Source organism: Homo sapiens, chromosome 11, assembly GCF_000001405.40.
Source record: "Homo sapiens chromosome 11, GRCh38.p14 Primary Assembly".
NCBI lineage: Eukaryota > Metazoa > Chordata > Mammalia > Primates > Hominidae > Homo > Homo sapiens.
Genome location: NC_000011.10, coordinates 20,007,416 through 20,030,053, shown reverse-complemented (window position 1 = coordinate 20,030,053; position 22,638 = coordinate 20,007,416). Strand labels below are relative to the sequence as shown.

General features: G+C 43.7%; 1 protein-coding gene and 1 long non-coding RNA gene across 51 annotated transcripts in view, besides 3 other annotated features; one reads left to right on the top strand and one right to left on the bottom strand.

The window, feature by feature from the left end:
• The window catches only part of NAV2 (neuron navigator 2), a 776,366-nt gene that overhangs the window by 91,548 nt on the left and 662,180 nt on the right, over window positions 1-22,638 (bottom strand). For 3 of the 50 annotated variants that reach the window (XM_047427837.1, XM_005253214.5, XM_047427838.1), the window contains exon 1: window positions 6,922-6,964. The exons of 46 other annotated variants lie outside the window; for them this stretch is intronic. In XM_047427837.1, the coding sequence (XP_047283793.1) occupies window positions 6,922-6,947 (26 nt within the window). In that variant the 5' untranslated portion in view covers window positions 6,948-6,964. Of the gene's footprint in view, window positions 1-6,921; window positions 6,965-7,258; window positions 7,499-22,638 lie in introns of those variants that run through there. One more of the 50 variants, NM_001111019.3, reaches the window with a different exon arrangement.
• Window positions 2,028-2,678: an enhancer, noted in NCBI's record as "OCT4-NANOG-H3K27ac hESC enhancer chr11:20048922-20049572 (GRCh37/hg19 assembly coordinates)". NCBI's record gives its function as "activates a minimal SCP1, AML or CMV promoter by ChIP-STARR-seq in naive and primed H9 embryonic stem cells {active_cell/tissue: H9 hESC(naive and primed)}" and the evidence as "EXISTENCE:reporter gene assay evidence [ECO:0000049][PMID:30033119]".
• Window positions 2,679-3,330: an enhancer, noted in NCBI's record as "OCT4-NANOG-H3K27ac hESC enhancer chr11:20048270-20048921 (GRCh37/hg19 assembly coordinates)". NCBI's record gives its function as "activates a minimal SCP1, AML or CMV promoter by ChIP-STARR-seq in naive and primed H9 embryonic stem cells {active_cell/tissue: H9 hESC(naive and primed)}" and the evidence as "EXISTENCE:reporter gene assay evidence [ECO:0000049][PMID:30033119]".
• Window positions 4,284-4,868: an enhancer, noted in NCBI's record as "H3K27ac-H3K4me1 hESC enhancer chr11:20046732-20047316 (GRCh37/hg19 assembly coordinates)". NCBI's record gives its function as "activates a minimal SCP1, AML or CMV promoter by ChIP-STARR-seq in primed H9 embryonic stem cells {active_cell/tissue: H9 hESC(primed)}" and the evidence as "EXISTENCE:reporter gene assay evidence [ECO:0000049][PMID:30033119]".
• LOC124902644 (uncharacterized) lies at window positions 5,570-21,206 on the top strand. The gene is made up of 2 exons (XR_007062616.1): window positions 5,570-5,705; window positions 5,830-21,206. It is a non-coding gene; the product is annotated as an uncharacterized LOC124902644 (long non-coding RNA).

The following is a 22,638-nucleotide window of genomic DNA, read 5'->3' as shown; positions in this document are numbered from 1 at the left end:
GTTTCCCTATCTTTTTGGTTTTTTAATAATTTTAAGACAGCCTATCACAGATATACCTGACTTCTTTGGCTGAAACATCTAGAGAAATGGCTAGAAGATACTTCCATTGATTCATCAGAACAATCAACACAAAAGCATGATTTCCTAACCAGATCACAGCTATGTACCTTTTTCTCCACTAATGAAATGCCCTACATTGGTCAAGTCAGATAAGAACGTAACTGGAGTTATAAGTGATCAGATTTTAAAATAACCTTCACATATTTTTAGCCAATGTATAGGTGGAAGGAATTTTATGAAACATTTTCTATGTTTCTTCTCATAAACTCCACATTTTTAGACCCTTAGCCAAGGGCTTTGAATTCACTTCTTCATCTCATCCATTGAGCCACTGCCCCTGTGTGCCAGGCACTGTGCAAGGCGGTGGGGATACAGTGAGAATTCAGAGTTTTCCCTGCCTTGACCATAGATCCAGTAGACATAACAGACAAGAACATAGCTTAGACACAAATGAAAACATAAAATAGGGAGATGAGCAAAGGGCACCAAGTGGAAACAACACTGGTTCCAAACATCATTTCTATAGCCTCCCATATCTCCTAAAGCCACCAGCCAAGTTGGAGCACAAAGAGCTCTTCTGGCAGAGTTCCAAAGCCCGGGCCCACCAACGCTTTTAGCTATGCTGCTTTCTTCTTCAACACATGGACACAGCAAGAGCCAGGAGCAAGGAGAGCCAGGCCTTTGCTCCAGGCTTCCACAGAACTACCACCCGTGAGGGTTCAGACAAGACACATCCTCTCCAGGCCCCAGTCTTCTCTTCTTTATAATGGAGTAGCTGGACTAAGCCATCCCAAAGGTTCCTTTCCAACGGACGTCCTTTACATTTATGCTCAGAGAAAAGTTGGTACAAAGGCAAGTGGGCACACTGGAGGTCTCCACACTGAATGGTCTCCCCTCGTTCAGTAAAAGCTGCCGAACAGGTAACTCCATTTTCTAATGTCTGGGCTTTTTCATTGCTGATTTCACCTGTCAGATTATTTTTAGGTAGCCCTGAGTTAGCGGCCCTTTTTAGACAGAAGTATGTTCTCTTATTTGATACAATCCCCATGGGAGCCTTTCAGTTCACATGTGCTACCTGCTTGGTCCTGCAATTTGAGTTTGCAAACTCTGGTATAGAGGCGTTACAACTCAACTCACAATAGAGTGTCTGAACCAGACCATGCTATTTATCCAAAGAAAGAGGATGCAATCTTGCCTAATACTTAAAGCCACCACTGACAGCGTTACCAAATATGCCAGGCACTGTAGTAGGCACATTATTTATATTATTCCACCCCCATTTTCCCCCGGATGGAAAGGAGACTTAGGACGCAGAGCTCATCAGAAGGATGAGACTCAAACCACGGCAGAATGACTGCAAGCAGCCTTCCAGCTCATCTGAAAGATGGCAGTGTCTTATAGATTGTAGCGCACAGCTATAGTACATACAGATCAGCTTTGAAATCTGTTAACTAGCTTAATCAAAAAGAACCTCCATCTACCAGCAGTCACCAAGTGTATCAAGAACAGACCCCATTTTGGCCAACATGTAGCATTTTAACCAGAATCAAGGCTCTCACAGCCTCAGCCTCAGCTGTTTCTCTACTACCTCTTGGAGAAATACAGATGTGAAGGGAAAAGCCTCTACAAAAGTGACCAGAAAATCCATTCAAACATGGAAGGGCCCATTAAACCAGGAGATCCAGTTTCAGTCTTAGAAGGGATGCTGACATCACCGTGTCAGGAATCCAAATGCCACTCAGAGGGCTTAAAGCACAATTTTAACAACCCCAAGACAAGCGATTTGCTATGAAAAAATGCAGGTGAAAGAAGCATAAATCATGTCAGCTTCACACATCTATTTTGCTCCACTGTTGTGAGGAGTGAGAATTCCACAGAACTGAGAAAGTAAACCAGACTTCACTGGGACCCCTGAGAAACTATATTTAATATAGGCAAATTTTTAATATCAAGCTCTTCCAGAGAGGTATCTAAAAGAAGCAAGAATCTGTAATGGTCCTGAATTAATGTGATATGATATTTACAATTTCATCTCTCATGAAGCAAAAAAGCAAAATAGAATCCCAAGGTTCCAGGGATGATTAAACAGATTTTTCCACTAGGATATACACACCCTTGCTTTCAGCAAAAGACTCCGGGAGGAGGAGTTATTGAAGGATCTGGAGGGAGGATCATTACACCTTTCAAATGAACTCCCTGTGAGATAATGTTGTTTATTCAAGGGAAAGACATGCTAAACGATGCTGTAAAAAAAATCAGATTGTAGATATATATTAGTTCCTCTCTACTTACTAATAAAACCACAGCCGGTGAGCAGAGATGAGGTTCTCTAACTACGGTTCTGAAAAGCAGTCTTCACAAAGCAAGGATCCTAATCCTCCCCAAACTCCAAAGGCTGGGTCTGCTTCCAGGAGGCCCTTACTGTCCTTGGAAACAGTCTGGGCCAGCCCCCGCCCCTCTGTCTGCCTCTTTCCAGGTGACTAAGCTCACACTGCGCAGCTGTGACCAGCTGCATCCAGGACTTACCTGCTCAATTTTCCAGTTCTGCTCCAGAATCAAGGCACAGCCCATTTACAGGGCTGGCCCATGCCCCCCGCCAGACAGCTGCATTCAGTTGCAAAAAAGTCCAGACTGGTGGAACTCGTTTTCTGGCTATTGTTCAAGGCAATTGTTCCCGTGAAACCCCGGGGCCCGAGCGGAACGAGATCCTTTGGTGTGGATGAGTGAGCAAGCCTAACTGTAGGCTTAGTAGTAACCCCTGGGGAAGAGAAAGGGTTTGGCTACCTACATTTCCCACCAAACAGGTATGTTAACTATTTCCTCCCCAGGAGGTTTTCTCGGGAGCATCATCTCCTCTAACTATTGCTGGGGCCTGTTAAGAAAATCCACCTTCAAAGAATGAAGCAGGGCTCCTGCAGAGTCCTACCTTTTGTAGTCTATGTGGAAAGCATAATAATAGCCAACTTTAATCGACATTTACAGTTGTCAGCCCCTGTGCTAACTGCACTACATACATTATTTCAGTTAATCCTCCAAACTCTGATAAAAATAATCACCAACACTTATTAATGGTTTGCTATGTGTCAGGCTCTGTTGTTATGTAACATATGTTCTCCCAGTTACTGTTAGATAAATATTAACACTATACCCATTTTACAGATGAGGCAATTGAGGATTGGAGAAATAGTCCCACGGGTCATACAACTAAGAAATGTTGAGGCTGAGATTTAAACACAGACACATGAGTGTTCAACCATCGCATTTATCTATTCATTTTACACATTTTAATGAACGCTCGTCATGTGTTCATTAGACTTTGAAGGACTTCAAAGTTTCCCACACCAAAGAAGATACAGTTACTTTAATTAAAACTATAAGCAAGCTGGCCAGGCACGATGGCTCACGCCTGTAATCCCGGCACTTTGGGAGGCCGAGGCGGGTGGATCACGAGGTCAGGAGATCGAGACCATCCTGGCTAACACAGTGAAACCCCTTCTCTACTAAAAATACAAAAAATTAGCCAGGTATGGTGGCAGGCACCTGTAGTCCTAGCTACTCGGGAGGCTGAGACAGGAGAATGGCGTGAACCTGGGAGGCAGAGCTTGCGGTGAGACGAGATTGCATCACTGAACTCCAGCCTGGGTGACAGAGTGAGACTCTGTCTCAAAAAAAATAAAAATAAAAAATAAATTTAAAAAAAAACTATAAGCAAGCCACCTGTCTCTGGACTACAGCTCTGGGACCAGCTTACATAGTTTGCAGTTCTGGTGCAAGATGATCCAGAGCCTAAACTGGAATTAATGCAAGGACAGAATGTAGTCACTAACCCCAGCAAATTTAGTCTCATCTAGTACCACTAATACCAGGAGGCTCCAAATGGAGAGACCACAGCTCTGCAGAAAAAATGAAAATAGGTCTGTGTTTGAATTCTGGCTCTGCCATCTCCTTATCAGGGCACCTTTACCTCCTGGGTGGCACTGTTCTAATAACATCCAGTTAGCATAATCATTTTGGTGGGACCAAATCAGGTAGCCTAAGTACAGCTCTCCATGTATATGGGAGAGAGTCCATGCATGTCAGTTGCAGTACAGGATCCAGGGAAGCTGCAAGGACTGCAGGAAGGAGATGCAGGCCTACATTCTCAAACAGATGATTAAGTTCTAGTGTAAGAACTTGCTTCTTACTGCCATAAATGGATAGTGTCCTAGGGGAGAAGCAACGTCTACAGACGGTGCCAGGTGCAAGGCCAGTGATTTGAGGTGGAGAGAGGAAAACACAAACCGCATAAAAAAGGCTCCAAGGGGATTTAGCAGCCATCAGGCTTGAGTTTCACCCCACCGCACCTTTGTCCCATTTTGGTAACTCATTCCTTGACAAGTAGGTGGTCCCCTGAGTAAGCATGAAATTTTTCCCTTTGGCTTCAGGAGCTTGGTCGCGTTAGAAAGCCCAGACCAAAGCTCCGGATGCCTTAGACCCTCATTGTTACACTAGGCACCAGCGTGTCTGCTGACCTCAGCTACACAAAGCCCTCTCTCCTTCAAGGCTCCTCTGGAGAGGGCTGCTTACCCTTGGGCCACTGCTGGCTGGCTTTTGCCAAGGATATCAACAAACTCATCCTAGTTTTCTGTTTACCAGAAGATATATTTCCCCTAAACATCAACAGAGTTCAGCATATTATAGCAAATGAAAATAACAGTAAACATTTATACAAGGTGAAAAGTTTTAATAATAGGTTCCAGGTACCATGCTAAGCACCATCCCATAAACACCTCTCCACTTTCTTATCAGGCACAAACTACTAATGCCCCCTTTGGATAGATGTGGAAACTGAAGCTTAGAGAGGCTATGTGACCTGCCCAAGGTGCCAGGGCTAACAAACAGAGCTGGATTTGAATACAGATCTGCCTGATTCTGAAACCCAAGCTTTTTAAAATCACATTGACTCAATGTTAAGAACAGAGGTAAAGATGCATCTAAATAGATCATGGTCATATAAGAACTCAGAACTTCCAACTGTTATTCAAAATACACAGGACACTTTAATGCAATCAAGTTACTTTTAAAACATCTCAAAGAAATTAAAGGAAAGGGGATGGGGGACAAATCCCAGACAGGGCATTGGCCAGCTGTCTTAAAACTAAGTAGAATGGGACAGGAGTTCAATACCCCCATAGTCTCCCTCCCTCCAACCCTCCACTAAGCTCCCAATATATCTTAGGGATGTGGGAACCTGAATGCACAAAACAGAACCACAGTTGCCCCAGGGCAGCCAAGGGAGGCGGCTATCTCCCAAAAACAGGCTGGCCTCATTTTGCAGTTTGTCAAGGACTTGCCCTTAAGCTCTCTCTTTCTTGGGGTAAGAGGAAAGCGAAGGGACCTCAGGTCAAGATTTCTACAGCCCAAGAGAAGCTCAGCTTTAGCTAATTAGGCACCTCCAGCACACATGTGAACAGCTAGCGCCAATAGCTTTGGTCAGCATTAATATGCTGGGTGTAGATCTTCTCCCTCCAAGACTCCATACATTCAGCGTCTTAAGAAGCAGACCCAGAGTTCCAGGGCACAGCCTCAGCAGCCCAAGGCCAGCTCCAAGGTCACTGGCCTTTCCTGATTTGACCTTCACTTGGGATCAAGTCTTCCTGAACCAGGTACAAACTAAAGCTCCAGCCTGATCAATCCAGCAGCCCCGGAGCCTCAAGATCACAGAACTCCCAGCTAGGTCCTACTGCCAAAGCAGGGCTGCTTCTTAATACACAGCCCTCTTCCTTCCAGAAACAAGCTGAATCCGAGAAGCCCAGGCAGGCTGTGCTGCTAGCATCCTGTGTATTTCGGTGAGTCCTCCACAACAAAGTACGCCCTTCATCCAGCTGAAGTCACATTTAAAATTAACAGGTAAAACCATTCCGAGCTCAGATGCCAAGCCCACCCAGGAAGGCATGGTGGTAGAGTGAACCTGGGTTCCAATCCCAGCTTTGCCTCTTATCAGCTGTGTAACCTTAATCAAGTTATTTAACCTCTCTTGGTTCCCACTGGTGATTTTCAAAATTGAATGTAATCTCCCTGGCTTTGCAATGAAATTGAATGACACAATGTCTGCTAGATGCTTGGCATGTGGTAGGTGGTCATGAACATTGTTTTCTTCTCCCCTTGTCTGGCTTAAAAACAGAAATGTGCTTCCCTGGGCAGCTCTATAGGTCATAAGGTAGCAAGAAAAGTCCTTATGCTTAAACCTCCCATGCCATCTCTCCTGGAGCCTAGTTTACACACACACACACACACACACACACACACACACACCCAGCAATTTGCTGTATAAACACAACCACAAGTTCACCAGGATCCTTAAATTCCAAACAAAACCTCCAACTGCAAGTCTTTTTAATCAGGGCCCTCTGAACCACAAGCAGCCCTTGCCTGGGGCCACACTGCCTTTTTCCGGCTCACCCCTCTGTACTGCCCCCACCAGCTGAAAAGTCCGGAATAACGACTTAAGACAGCTAGGTGATCAATACCCAGATTTTCGGGCTCAGTAGCCTAATTTGATAAGACGGTTTGGAAAATATTGACATTACCCAAATGTCTAGGTGGACCCAGGACATTCGGGTAATGCCCCAGTTTCCTCTGAAACCATCAAGGTTAGAATCAATGGGGGCGGAAGAGGAGAAGAGGTGAATTTCCTGACCAGCAACCTTGCCCCCCGCCCCCTCCCACCCCCACTCACACACCACCACATAGCTCACAGTGATTTAGGCAGCTGCACCACAGGCTGCTCCACCAGGCTTTTCAATACCGGCCAAGGAAGACAAGGCAGTACATGCACCACACCCACCCCCTGGCCCCAGAAATTTTAGAAAATCGTCCTACCTTGTAAGGTTCCTAGGCCAGAGCATTTCACTACATTGCGGCCCTTGGAGAACAGCGGACAAAGAAGCTGAATGAATCTCACAGGATGGCAAGTCCTTTAGCCAGCTGAGCCAGCCCACACTGGGCCAGGGAATCCCAGGCACCCAGCAACTCTGTAACTAAAGGACTAGCTAGCAGGGATCACCATTCCCCAGGCCAGGAAAGAAATCCGATCCCCCAACAAAATTAACCTCTGAAGTGCTGAAGGATCGAGAGGTCAGGCCTCAGTGCTGGTATCAAGTCAGCTGTGAAAAGTTTCAGCAAAGCAAAAGCTAACACCAAACTCTGAAACCATTACCGTAAAGCACTGAATGGAAGGGCCCTCCATGTGGTCCCAGGGGAGTTTGCAACAGCGGGTCAAATTGAAGAAAATCTAAGAATGAAAAACTACTTTAAATCCTCACAGACTGCACAGAAACATTGCAGAAAGTCTTTCCAGCCCTAAGTGCTACTTTTAATGATGCAAAAATCATTGACTATAACATTTCTTAGCTCATTCCATTGACGTCTGAAGGCAAAGCATTCGATTGAAAAGATTAGCCTACAGAGAGAATTTCTGAACCTAAAAAGGAAATGATACCTGTTTGTACAGTTAACAACGACACACATACATTATTTCCGGTGATGTCAATTTTGATGCAGTGCCAACAAAAATATGCATTAATTCCGCAGGCTACTTATTTCAAAAGAAAAAGAATCTCAGTCTAGGCATGGCTACATTAAACATTATGGTACAGAGGCTGGAAGGGGAGGTGGGTGGGAGAGAGTCCCAGCTCTGGGATGGGAAGGGGTTGCATGGACTAATCCCTATTAAAACCTGTAATCAAGGCACTCAGAAAGAACTATGTAAACAGATGCTATGAACAATGAACAACTGTATTACTACTGAGAACTCAAAAGCAAACTTATGTTATAGCCACAAGCTTTATTTGAAAACGAAGGATTAAGATGTTCTCCAAAACCCTGACTCCCTCTCCAAAAATCCTACCAGTTGGTTCCTGGTAGCTTTCAAAGACTTTCCCCAAGAAAGGCTCTCCCCCTGGCCAGGGTGGCCTCTCCAGTGGAAGCAGGGAGCGGGGGTTGTGGCCCTGGGGGATGGTTAGGGAAGGAAGCAGTAACTGGCTCCAAGCGAGGTCTCTGTGTGGTCAGCATTTGCTCAGCAAACAGAAGCTTTCAAAGGGGAATGAAGAGCCATTCCTCTCCCACTGAAAAGGGAGGGAATAAAAGATCTGCTCAAAGAGGAGAGGAGGGTCTGGTGGTGATTCCCAGGTGAATGAAAAAAAGATTGTAATCTCGAAGGAGTCCCAACCAAAGTTAATCATTCACATCTCATCCTTCAGGGCCCTCGTCCACTTGAAATACTGCTGAGGCATCTGCCGTGGGGAGTGGGAAGCAGAGGTGGGGGTGGGCAGTGGGTGAGTTTGAGGGAAGGAGTAGTGTCCAGATATATTAAGACAAAAAAGTTGGGACAGACCCAAGTTCTGGCTGACAAGGATGCTTCAAACCACCCCTTACCTTCTATGCTGTCCCTGGAACTGACTGTATCTTTACGATATTACTTCTTTGAGAATCTGTCCAACATCCGAGTTAACTTGGGAATGGGATGGTGATTGTGTGTATGGAGACACACAGGCACATGGGCACAGATGCACACACACGCTCTAAAAAGTTTCCATTGTTTCCTCGCTCTAGGCAAACATAATAGGTAAACATTCTGATTTGTCATCAAGGTAAGCTAGGAAATGTTGATGTATTCATTTATTCATTCATCAACTACCATATTTATAAAGCATCTGCAATGTGGCAAGTGCTGTTCTAAGTGCAGAAGATACAAGCAGTCAACAAAATAGACCAAAAATCTCAACTCTAATGGAACTTAGCTTCAGTGGTAGAACTATAAAATAAATGAGACAAAATGTAAATTTTACAGTACATTAGCAATAAATGCTCGGGAGAACAACGTATTGTAAAGAAGAAGATGTGATTTGTCAAGGTGGGGTGTGGGAAATTTTACATGGGCTGGCTATGGCAGGTCTGCTGAGGGCATGGTTTTTATTACAAATCTAAAAGAAGTATGGGAGCTGGGTATCTGAATACCTGGGGATAAGGGACTTTCAAGAGAGGAAATGGTCAGTGCAAAGGCCCTGAGATAGTATACGACTTGCAATGCATTCCAAGAATGAGTGGCTGGAGCAGTGAGCGGTGAACCAAAGTGGGGTGAGGAGGGGGTCAGGCCAGAGAGTCCAAGGGTACAGCGAGAGAGGAGAGTGCCTAAATGGGGCCCTGCAAGTCAGCGTAAGCAGCTTGTCTTTTACTCTGAGGGAGAGAGGATACATTGGAGGTTTAATAGATGGAGTTTCTTCTTTTTATAAAAGTTCATGTAAATGTACAACACTAAACATATCGTTTTGATTACACATGATTTTTACAGGGGTGAGTTTATTGTAGGAGACATAGTGCTTTAAGGAGGTCTTAGTTTTCTTTCTATGGTTAAAAGAATCACACCTTTCATGTTAGAGGCTCTGAATTATTTGCAGCTACAGGTTCTAATTGAGTCAGGGTTTTCTCATGGTTTGAAAGATAATAATTAGTAGGGATAAGGGAGACCCAGGCAACGAGAGAGGAAAAGGGAAAGTAAACCAACTCCATGAGGGCAGATGCCCTTTGGCGCTTTTCAAGAGCCAGGATTGCTCTGTCATTTTTGACGCTTGCTTCTAAACAGGCCAAATTCCAAAGGGCTCCCAGAACTCATAACACTTTTCTCCACAGAAACAATGTTATCAGTGATGTTAAGGTTTCCAGGTTACTCACAGAGCCATCTATAAAACCAAGATGTAGTTGATGAACTCTACTCAGGTATCAAAGAGTAGAAGAAAACTTTATTCTTGGAATACAGTACATAATTAGACAAAACAGAAAACCACAAATCTAAAAAGATGTTCACTTATTTCTAATGAGTATTTTATGAAAACAATGCTAGTGAAGACACTTCGTTCCTTTTCTTCCAACATATTCAACCCTCTTTCCTGGCTTTTCCCTGCAGGCTGAAAAATATATCACTAATCTCATCAAATCAAACAAAAACTTTTTTTTTTTTTTACCTCATGCCCATATTCTCCTCCACTCCTTTGAGGTGTTTTCCTGTACTTCTCATGTTCCGTGATCCTTCAACCCACCAGGCAAGATGTTTGTTCCCACTACTCCACTGAGACCACTTTCTCTTTTCCCTGAGAACATCAATGGCTTCCTCCTTGCCAAAGCCAATGGTCAACTCTCTGTCCTTACCCTACTTGAGTTTTCAGCAGCAGGTAGCATCGACAGATTCTCCCTTCTTGAGTGGGCCTCATCCCGGGTTTCCATACTGTCATCTGTACCTGGTTCCTACCTCCCTAACTGCGCTTCTCAATCTCCTAGGCTCACCCTCCTCTTCACCTCTCCAGAACTCCAGGGCCTCCATCCCTGGACCCCTCCTCTTCTCTAACTATAACTTCTCACTAACTTCTAACTAAGTTATAACTACCACTTCTAACTAACTTCTTTTCCTGGGTGATCTCATCCATGGCTTCAAATACTAGGTGAAGGCAGACAACTCTAAAGTCTGTAATCTCTAGCCTGGCCCCTTTGTGTACCCAACACATCTGAAATCAAATTTACCTTACTCAAAACTATTGCTCCCAACTTCCAATGTGTCCGCACCCCCACTCCCAAAGTCTTCTGTATCTCAGAATATGACTCTACATTAACAGTCCTAATTCTCTCCCTCCTTCTTGCCTCCGATGTAATCCATTAAGAAGGCCTTTTGCCTAGAGTCCCCAAATATACCTTGAACCCAATCACTACTGAACATCTGCAATAAGATAACCTTGGACCAAGATGCCATCATCTCTTTCCTGCAACAGACACCTCCCGGGTCGCTCAGCCTTCCCTCATGCCTTGCTAGGCTCCATCCTGCACACCCCAGGGGCAGCAATCTTTCTCCAGTGTACAGCAGATTCTGTCACATTCCTGCTTAAAGCCCACTGATAGCTTCCCAGGGAACTTAGAATAAAATTCAAATTTGTTCCCTTGGCCTAGAAGCCCTGATGTGATCTGGCTTCTCCTCTTCATTACGTCCAAAGACAGGACCCACAAATGCACCAAGCTTCTTCCCACTTCCTAGGCCCTCGCACTGTGCCTCCTTTCTGGAATGCTCCTCCCCATGTCTCCCACTGGCGGCCCACTTCTCACGGGTCAGATGTTGGTTGGAATGGCACCTCCTCAGGGATTTCCTCTTAGACTCTGGCCCAATTACATTCCACCATATGATTTTCTTCATGGCATCAACCAGTCAACACATTGTCTTTCAACAGTCTGTCTTTCCCTCAACACAGGGAGCTCCTCGAGCACAGGTGTACTGTTTGCCTTTGTTCTGAGCCATATCCTCCCAGTGCCTAAATCACTGCTGATGTGGTCCTGGATCAACCAAGCATAGGAGGACAAAATGGAACTGATTATTCCATGCAGTCTCCTGGGGACTGTGTAGTACTTCCAAGGACTTTAGTTCAATGGTTTTATTTGGTCACAGACCCACTTAGGGGCCCGTCTCTCCATAAGAAAAAAGATACACAAACAATATTTTACACAGAATTTCCAGGGACTCACTGATCCCCTGAATCCTGTCCATAAAGCCCAGGTTAAGCGCAGCTGCTTCTGAGTTTTGTAATACCACTTTAGTTTCACTTTTTTTTTTTTTTTTTTTTTGAGATGGAATCTCACTCTGTCGCCCAGGCTGGAGTGCAGTGGGCCGATCTCAGCTCACTGCAACCTCCACCTCCCGGGTTCAAGCGATTCTCATGCCTCAGCCTCCCGAACAGCTGGGACTACAGGCATGCACCACCATTCCTGGTTAATTTTTGTATTTTTAGTAGAGACTGAGTTTCATCATGTTGGCCAGGCTGGTCTCAAACTCCTGATCTCAAGTGATCCGCCTGCCTTGGCCTCCCAAAGTGCTGGGATTACAGGAGTGAGCCACCACACCTGGCAGTTTCACTTTTATACTGACTTTTTGTTTCCTTAATTTGGGAATCAGTATTATACTCAATTCAGTTGCTTTCTTCTTGCTTGCTAGTAACAGAACAAAGAGAGAAAGGGAAGGGAGGGAGGGAGGAAGGAAAGCTCTCCTGGATGAATGAACAAGAAGGAAAACATAAAGGTTTAAAAGAGGATCTGTGTGTATGGGACACATTAAAAGATGTGACACACATCACATTGCCTGGTGTGGAATTTTACTGGGTGTGATCTGCAACAGGCAGTGGGAAGGAGAGTCTTTAGCAAAGATTTTGAAGTACAGCAGTTAATACTAGGGAGTTTATTATTTTCAACAAGAATTATAGGAAACTAGGCAGCTTTGGGGTAGAAAATGAACAACATTCAACAAATAGTCAATGCAAAACCTTTGCCAGATACTAGACTGGACACTGAGAATATAAGGCGGAGGAAAAGGAAATGCCCCAGTCCTGACAGAGCTCTTTACATGGAGGAGACAAACAAGCAAAATCATTATGGATGTTACGGGGAAAGTGATGACAGAAATAAACAGGGTGCTGTGAAAGAGAGTCACACAGGAAGCACTTACTTTAAATAGTGTGGTAGGGAAAGGCCATTCCCAGGAAGTGACATTTAAAGGAAGACATGAAAGATGAGAGGGCACCAACCAGCCATCAGAAGGAGAAAGCCAGGTGTTCCAGACGAAGGGGTTGGGGAGTGGAAGGGGGACGCATCAAGTGCAGAGACCAGAGGGAGAGGCTGGGTGTGCTGGAGGGGCTGAAAGGTGGTTACTATGTTTGAAGCTTAGTAAGCGGGTGTGGGGACATTAGTGGAAAAGAAAGACTATCCTCTGGAGAACTCTCAAACCATTAATAACAACTGATCCTAGAAAAGTATCAATAAAGAGCTTTGAAAGGTAGTCAGTGTGCCTCTGCATCTCCCCCATTCCTTTTCCACTTCCTCTATTCTTTTCTGGGAATTAGGACCTAAAGGATAAGCAAGAGGGCCTCCCTTCCTGTTAAAGTTCTTTTTCTTTTATTTTATTTTCTATTTTTATTTTTTGGAGACAGAGTCTTGCTCTGTTGTTTAGGCTGGAGTGCAGTGGCACGATCTCAGCTCACTGCAACCTCCACCTCCCAGGTTCATGCAATTCTCATGCCTCAGCCTCCTGAGTAGCTAGCACTACAGGTGTGCGCCACCGCACCTGGCTAATTTTTTTTTTTTTTTTTTGTATTTTAGTAGACAGGGTTTTGCCATGTGGGCCAGGTTGGTCTTGAACTCCTGAGGTCAGGCAATCTGCCTTCCTTGGCCTCCCAAGGTGCTGGAATTACAGGCGTGAGTCACTGCACCTGGCCCTATTCATGTTCTTATGCAGAATCTCTATTTCCACTGGGTCCAGGGAAGCAGGACCTCACTCTTTGCATTTACCCAGATTGTGGATCCCTCCCTCCCTACTGTTTCCAGTGAAGTGGTGATACTGTGCTCCAATTATATTACAAAAACAGAATGAGCTGCCTTTCAGCTTCAAATATTTTATCTTATAGAGCTGCAGTTTCTGTTACCTTTTGTTGGTTAATTGTTGAGATTGTCTGGACTCCACATTTGTGAGTACTCACATGTAAAAGCACACATATTCCTTAATCTCTAAACAAAAGATTTCATTCAGCAGGAACAGTATCCAATCTGTTATCCATGCTTATGCCCTTCCCATTCTAAATCTGAAACCAGCTGATTGTTAACAAAACCTTAAAGACAGCTAAGGAACAGGACCATGTGGGTGCCAGCATCTTCAGCCTCAACTCACAAATCCAGACTTTCCACCCTCAGTCCAACATCAGGGATGTCTTTTCTGGAAGGGTGCCAATCGGCTATATCAACTCCAAAATGGCAGCATTTCCAGTAAAGGACATAAGAGGTCGAAGTTACTCCCAACAATAACGATAATTAAACTTTATAAGCTTTACTGCCTACACATCTCATCTCATTTAATTCTAAGAACTGTTCTAACACGCGTTATTATCCCCATGTTATGAAAAAGAAACCGGCGCTCAGAGAATTTAGATGATTTGCTCGTAGTCATACAACTGCCAAGCGACAGACTGGAGCCAAATCCTGTTTGATTTCCGTGACACGGCATTAGAGGAGTGAACACCTCCAGGTCACTATGCCAACAGATGACACTAAGACACTTAGTGGGCCAGGGCCATTCACAGGTTATCCCACAGTCCTTCAGCTCCTTCTAATACTTTTGGGTTTGGTCCAATTGAGATACTGTCATTTACCAAATTCCACACTATAGTCGCTCCTCCTATATTTGCAGTGATTGTTCTCTTTAAAATATCAGCTGGATATTGACTTTTGTGTGCCAGGCATTGTGCTGGGGAAACAGTGGTATGTCAAAGAGAAGATGTCTCTCTCTACCCCCTCGTGGAGCTTATAATTGGGTGTATGTGGGGGTACCAAGCAGTCAAATAAAAAACAAATACATTTAACCGCAATCCATGAGATATGCCATGAAAGAAAAAAAGAAATAGTAAACTGTGAGGACATATTATAGGGAAGAAGAGAAGGAAATTATTGTCCACAAAGTCAGAAAAATCTGTACTCAGGCTGCCTGTATAGGAATGCTGTGCAATGGTGAAAGTTGACAATTTTGGTGAAAATCTTGAAACTTGACCCTAGATGTAGCTTTCTAAATAGCAAAACCTAGATTACCCCATAAAACCCCATCCCACACATCCCTGGCTAAGAACAACAGCCACAAAAATTTCTGTGTCATTGTCTCCAAGGCCATAAGGAGTAGCAGCAGATGGCAATGCTCGACACGTATTTCAGGGAACAGTATGAAGTGAGGCTATCGTGCCTATTTGGTCATGATCATAAATCTGGTTATTTAGAGGAAAACAGGAAAAAAACCCAAAGAAGCAAATCCATGTGGCAATTAGGTCTTTTATTTATTAATTAACTACCTTTTTTGAGACAGTGTTTCACTATTGCCCAGCAGGAGTGCAGTGACACAATCTCAGCTCCTTGAAACTTTAAACTCCTGGGCTCAAGCAATCCTCCCGCCTCAGCCTCCCCAGTAGCTGGGACTACTGGCATGTGCCATCATGCCTCTAATTTATATTTATATTTATATTTATATTTATATTTATTTATTTATTTTTGAGATGAAGTCTTGCTGTGTCACCCAGGCTGGAGTGCAGTGGTGTGATCTTGGCAAACTGCAATCTCTGCCTCCCGGGTTCAAGTGAGTCTCCTGCCTCAGCCTCCCAAGTAGCTGTGACTACAGGTGTGCACCACCACACACAGCTAATTTTTGTATTTTTAGTAGAGAGAGGGTTTCGCCATGTTGTCCAGGCTGGTCTTGAACTCCTGACCTCAGGTGATCCACCTGCCTTGGCCTCCGAAAGGGCTGGGAATACAGGCATGAGCCACTGCACCTGGCCTATGCCTGGCTAACTTTTAAAATTTTTTGTAGAGGCAGGGTCTTGCTTTGTTGCCCAGGTGGGTTTTGAATTCCTGGCCTCAAGCAATCCTCTCACCCTGGCCTCCCAAAGTGCTGGAATATTACAGACATGACCAAATACACCTAGCCATGGTCTTTTAAACAGAAAATTAAAGGAGATTTAAAAGAACATGATGGGCTTTGAGGATCTATATTTTATTAAGGGTGCTGTAGGGGCACAGAGAGAGTTCAAATGTTTATTTTTGCAGCTGCACTGTTATCTCTATTAAGATGGATGGGGAATGAAGAAAATGTTTCAGTGCTACTCTTTGGCTTTTTCCAATGGGAGTCCAGCTCCAAGGACATCCTTGACTGTGTCTACCACAGGGTGATAATGAGGGAGAGGGACAGGTGGCTGGGGTGAGGAGGGGGAAGTGTAATCGGGGAGAAGGAAGGGATTGGAGAGGAAACTTGTAGGTGCTCATCATTGGCAGCCCCTAGGCAGACTGCGACTTAAGCCAACAGTTGGGGACTCTGATCTCACTCCACTTCCTTCACCCAAAGTTTTCCCACTGGCCCCGGTCATGCAGCCCTCATGTTGTAGGATGCGCTGCAGGGCAGAGGAGAGAACACCGGAACAGAACAGAAGCTTGGGGCTGAGCCCCTACATCTGTCACCACATTGACTTTGGCCAAATCACTTCCTGACTGTGGCTCTCAGATTACTCTCCTGCTTACTGAGCAGGCTGCCACCCCAGAGGTCCACTAAGAACCTTCCAAGTATGAATGTTTTGTAAAACTATACCCCTAGATCTCCCACTGAATTCCTTCTCAAAAGAAAATTCATTTGCCTTGTGAATTTGACTCATGATCCATCTGTCCCCTACTGGGGACAGACCTTGAATTTACTGCAGACTTTCTAGGGACCGGGCATTGTATGAAATGCTGTAAATACCTTTTCCCGCAGAACCCTTCCTACAGCTCCATGAGGTCGTAATTTCTCTTGTAAGAAAACCTGTTCTATACCTTAGCTTTGGTATTTCATTGTTTCCCTTCTGAGTTTATAGGGACTATAAAATAGGTTCACAAAACCTTTCCCAACCTCTGAACCACAGTCTTGTCTACAATGAAAGGAAAAAAAAAAAAAGTTTGGCAAAGAGCCCAACTCATTCTAGGTATTTGCCTAGCGGGAAGGCTAGCTGAAAAAGTTATAGACTGGTTAAGAATTAAACTCCTTCCATTTGACCATTAGTCTCTAAGAGAAAAACTGTTTTGAATGGAAGAAGAGAAGTTAAATAGAGTGACTGGCACACAGAAAGTACTTACAAATTTTGCTATTGGTTCTGAAAACCAACAGCGCGCCAGAGACTCTACTAACTTTGTATACAACGTTGGTATCAAAACTCACATATCCCAGTATGATAGATTTTATTATCTCTCATATACAGATGATCTACAACTCAGAGAGGTTAAGTAAGTTGCTCAAGGTCACATAGCCAAAAAATGCTAAAGCCAAAATCTGGACCCAGGTCCAACTTATTCATAAATCAGTGTCCTTCTGGGGCTTTCTTAAGCTCCCATTTATGGAGTTCTTATCATGGTGTTTACTGTGCTGAATTTTCTGGTCTTATTTCATCCTTCTGACATTCCCTATGCAGTAGGTATAATCATCCCAAGTTTATATGAAGAAATTGGGGAGCAGTGGGTTAAGTAAGATGCCCAAGGCCACACTGCTGGTAAGCCCCCAGGCTTCTGATTTCAAAGCCCATGCTTAAAACTACTCTTTATCACCTCTGGATTTTTGCCTTGAGACTGGTAATTGGCACATTGGGGATGATTTTCTTGACTTTACAGACAGCCACTTCACTGGTTTGAGTATTAAAAGTGTATTGACAACAACCCTATCCCCTGGTCGCTCTTTTCCCCCTTCTTTTTTTTTTTTTTTTTGAGATGGAGTCTAACTTTGTTGCCCAGGCTTGAGTGCAGTGGCACAATCTCGGCTCACTGCAACCTCCGCCTCCTGGGTTCAAGTGATTCTTCTGCCTCAGCCTCCCGAGTAGCTAGGATTACAGGCGTGTGCCACTGTGCCCGGCTAATTTTTGTAATTTTAGTAAAGATTGGTTTTCTCCATGTTGGCCAGGCTAGTCTTGAACTCCTGATTCAGGTGATCCACCTGCCTCGGCCTCCCAAAGTTCTGGGATTACAGGCTTGAGCCACTGTGCCCGGCCATGAGTGGGTGATTCTATCAGTAGGCACCATCATGGTATTAGGTTGGTGCAAAAGTAAGTGCAGTTTTCACAATTAAGAGTAATGGCAAAAACCACAATTACTTTTGCACCAACCTAATAGTTTCAAGTTCTATATTTTTGCTTAAGTTTAGAGAGAAAGATAAATGTTCTCATTCAATTCAGAGCACAATGTAAACTGATGCTATATGTGGAGGTTCAGCTGCAGGGAGCTAGCTGGACCTAGACAGAAACTCCATTCTTCAGCCAACTTTCTTCCAAACACCATACCAGGAACAATGGAGTACGGATAGAAAAAGTATGTGAATGGTTCAGGGTAGCCCCATCACCACTGCCAGAAGATACTCGAGACTATGCTCCTCTGTAGTGCCTCAAGGGCATCATCTGCACACACAAATGTCAGAATTATAAGGGAAATATAGAATACAAGCTTTATTGGCAGCCCACACTAGTGTGCATACATTAGGTCCAAGAATGGTCTTTGCATTTTTGTTTATAAGAACAAAAGAAGTGAAATACCCTAAATATTCACCAGTAGGAAGACAGTTAATCAAATTATGGCTCCGCCACATAGAATGGAATCCTGTGTGTGACCATTAAGAATGATGTTAATGAATCCTGATAAAGAAAAATGCTCATGCTGTACTACACAATTACAAAATTAGATTATAAAACATCTCTCATTTTTTAGAGGCTGTATAATGTAATTAAAATTAAAGACTATAGAGTCACACTGTCTAGCTACAAATCCTGGCTCTGTCACTTTTAGCTGTGTGACTTTGGACACGTTGCTTAAGCGATGTGTGTCTGTTTCATCACCTGTACAATGAGTTCTTACTCCCAGAGGTGTTGTAAACACCAAATGAATCAATACATGTAAAGAATTTAAACTAGTGTGTGACTCATTGCAAGCAAGTATTCAAGACATGTTTGGTCTTTCAAAAAACAAAATGTCTAAGTGCTTACATGAACAAAAAACACCTGGAAAGCACCACGGTGTTAACGATAGATTTCTCTGTGTCATATAACATTACAACCTTTTTCTTTTATCCCTATTGTTTGCTTATCTGCATTTTCAATATTTTTTCCAAAATTAAACATAGGCTTAAAAAAAAACAAGAAAATCACATTTAATATTTTTAAATCCCAATCTTTTATCAGAAACAGAAACCTCACCAAAACTCATTTTTTTAAAAAAGCTATGGGTCAGGCCAGGTAATTACAAAACCTGGAGTCTGAAGAAAGTGCATTGTGTTTCCTCGTCTTTGCTAGTTTGATGGCCTAACAGCAAGAAAGAATTTGCACCCCAGCACCTTGATCCTGAAGATGCATAGGCAGGCCTGCGGAGAGGAAGAGACTAGAGAGATGGGAAAGCCTGATTTCATTCCTAGCTATCCACTTAGTTTAAAATGTCAGGAAGTTTAGCGGATTAAGGGTATTACAGTCACTATTCATAAAGGTGTTTTGTTAGAACTTCTAAATAGCAATCTGGTGAAATAAGCCTTGCACAGGCTTAAATGAAAGCCTGTTACAGTACTTAAAGTTTCCTAGAGAAGGAAAAAGATCCCCAGGTATTAATTTACCTAAAGAGCAGCTGCCTGGAAGACACTGTAATGTATCTTAAGTAGCCAATGCTATAAAACAGATAACCAGTCACAGAACTAGGAGGTTTGAGCCCAGATCACCCGGTGGTAGAACTGCAATTAGCAGTAATGAGAGGCATGTCTACATTTTGATAAAAGCCACGGCTGTACATATATTATAGACTTGGGCGCTTTCTAAAAAATCCAAGGACATTTAAAGCTGTTGGAATCCAAGAGACAGAGAGGCGTGTTTGAATTTCAAAATTCGCAAATTAAAAAAAAGGTGGTGGGGGGCTGTCACGCTTATCTCACAAATGCATCTGGATGGCACAGTATGTCAAACTCCAGGGAGAAAAGGAGACTCACAATTATTAAGCCCCTATTTGCACAGCAGACGCAGTGCCATTTAAGCCAATTGACCTAAGTGTTCTCCTTTGCAGTCCTGATCCACGGGAGCAGACAATCTTGTAAATGAGTCTCTAAATCAAAGGTCTGCAAAACCAATTCCATTTTCCCCCCAGTCCTTCTTATGAGATCACAGAAGCCATCTCAAGAAAAAAGACATCTTCACAATTAGGGGAAAGATGGGTCAGGATGAGAAGTCTTACAGAAGGGAAGGGGGTGGGGTTTGAGAGATGCAGGCTTGGGAGTGAATTCTGGCTTCACTAATAAGCTGAGCTATACAGACTGGAGCTAGTCTACCTGTCTGAGCAGTTTCCTCATGTGGCTTGGGTAATGAGGAAACACTGGTGAACAAGATAGGTTCTTGCCCTCAAGATGCTTAGAGTATAGATGAGGTGACAGGCTAGTAGCAGACAGTTATAATAGGATGTATTTGGTACTATGATAAGGAAAAGTTCAGGCCATCATGGGAGCAAATAGGAGGGACACCCAATCTGGTCTTTGGTGTGGGGTAGAGAAGGCTTCCTGGAGGAGGTGACATTTAACGTGAGCCCTGAAGGGATGGGGTGAGGATGAAGAGAATGTCTCTGCAAAGATTGGAAGGCAAGAAAAAGGATGGTTTGGGGCGTTGGGGAAGCAAGTAATTCAGTGTGGTTGAAGAGAGGAGAAGGAGGGGAAGAATAGCAGGAGCCAGATCTCATAGTAAGCCCGGTAACAGTTTGAACTTTATCCAAGGGGGATCGGAAGCTCATAGACAGGCATTTACTGCTTTTGGAAAAGCCATGGGTAGCAGAGATGCAGACATACCAAAGGAAAATTACTCCAGCTCTGCTTCCCAATTCAGAAATCTCACAGCGCTGTTTGCATTTTATCTAATTTCTCTGACAAAGTCAGCGTTTTAAAAATTATGATGTCCACCCCATGGAAAGCTGTAAATCATAACACTATCTCACAGCTCATTTGTCACAGGTTCTAGAGCTCGTTCAGACACCATTGAGTTCAACGAGCACCTGCCTTCATGCACTTCATTTTGGATAATCAAATCTCAAATTTTATACAGGGTTGGTTATCTAGTAAACTGAAGTTACTCTAGACGCTCACAACTGAAAAGAAAATTAGGGGCCATTTGACTCAAATCCAAATTTGAGTAAGTAAGCTCAGGGGGAAAAGTACCTTGCTTGAGGTCACAGAGTTTAGGGATAGATCCAAGGTTAAACCTCAGACCTCCAACCTCCAACCTATGCTTTTTTGTTTTGCAGCTTCATCTCTCCCCGTTACAGACCAGGAATTCCAAATTCCTAGCCCAAGGTCAGAGAGGTCTCACTGATGCCTGTGTAGCCACGTGAGGATGGGAAGTCTCATTTGCCAGTAAGCACTACAGGAAGTGATGGTTGAACACGATGGGACTAATAAGAAGGAAACGTAGTTAGAGTGATCTTATTCATTTAAAAACAAAAGCAGCAACAATACAGCAGTCGAGGAAAAGAATCAATTCTATTTAAGCAAAGCAATTTAAAGTAATAAAAAATGTTTCCAGCATTATTCTATTTCAAAACATTTATCAGATGCCAGGGAAATTAAGCATGTGCAAGCACACACACCACTCTGTGCAAACGGTTTATCTAGCAAAACAAGCAGGCGGAAAAAAAAAAAAGGTCTGAGGAACTTCAATTTTTAACTGCCAAGTGGATCAAAGACACAAGCAACAGAAAAAGAAATACACAAGTCTAAATTTAGTCATCTCTTATACTGGTTAAGTCCTTTTTCAAAGTCTGTTGGCTGTTGCCTGGACACAGCTTTGGTGTGAATGACTTTCATCTGAGCCTCTATCCTAAGGGTCAAGCTTAAGATGCTGATGGCAAGCATGCTTGTTTGCTGTGTCCCTGAAGTCTCTGTTTGGCTGTTAAGGGGCAGGAAAAGCTCTCTGGAAGTTTTTGGACCTCAAGAAGTAGCTGAAAAGAGTCAAAGTGATAGAGAAAAGACAGAGAAGATGACAGGCATTCATACACATACACTGATTTAAACTTTTTTTTTTGAGACAGTCTCACTTTTTCACCTAGGCTGGAGTACAGTGGTGCGATCTCGGCTCATTGCAACCTCGGCCTCATGGATTCTCCTGCCTCAGCCTCCCTAGTAGCTGGGATTACAGGCACACGCCACCACACTTGGCTAATTTTTGTGTTTTTAGTAGAGATGGGGTTTCACCATGTTGGCCAGGCCGGTCTTGAACTCCTGACCTCAGGTGATCTGCCCGCCTTGGCCTCCCAAAGTGCTGGGATTACAGGCATAAGCCACCGTGCCTGGCCTGATTTAAACTTAAAATACACAGGCTGACAGTTCTGCAATATTTGGTTTCTGCAACTTTGCTCTATAAAACAAGGCTCTCTCAATGACCAGTCTCACAAGATTTCTACAAGGGGTAAAGTATGATAACGTTCTCTTCTATAAAAATATTTTTTGTTTTTGTGAACATAAAATGTTTTTACAAATCCAAAACAGCATCATAAAGCAAAGGATCTAAAGTGTGTGCGGGGATAGCAGGCAGTTACTGTACCACTGGCTGATCTTGGAAGATGATTACAGCTGAAGCCCCATAGTGGTGGCAGTTGTGCCTCCTAGTACCACCACTCCATTCTCCCATTGCAGCTGCTGATCAATGAGCTCACACACCAGGCTTGATAGAGAAAAATAATTAGTCTGACTTACCTTTCAAAGGAGAACTGATTTCTTCAAGGGCTGGCTTTTGTCCCCCAGCCAACCTGTCAAATCTATCTTCTCCTGGTGACCCGGGTGCAAAACAGCACATGAATACACTGTGCTGGCTAAATTTAGACTTTGAGAGCCTTTCTAACCTGTCATTTCACTCCACAGAAAAGCAGATCAGTTTCTTCAGTGAAAATACTGCCAACCCAATCAATGTGGAGAGATGAGGCAAAGCCTCAAGGCCACTCAAAGGTCCTCTCAAACTTGCCCTG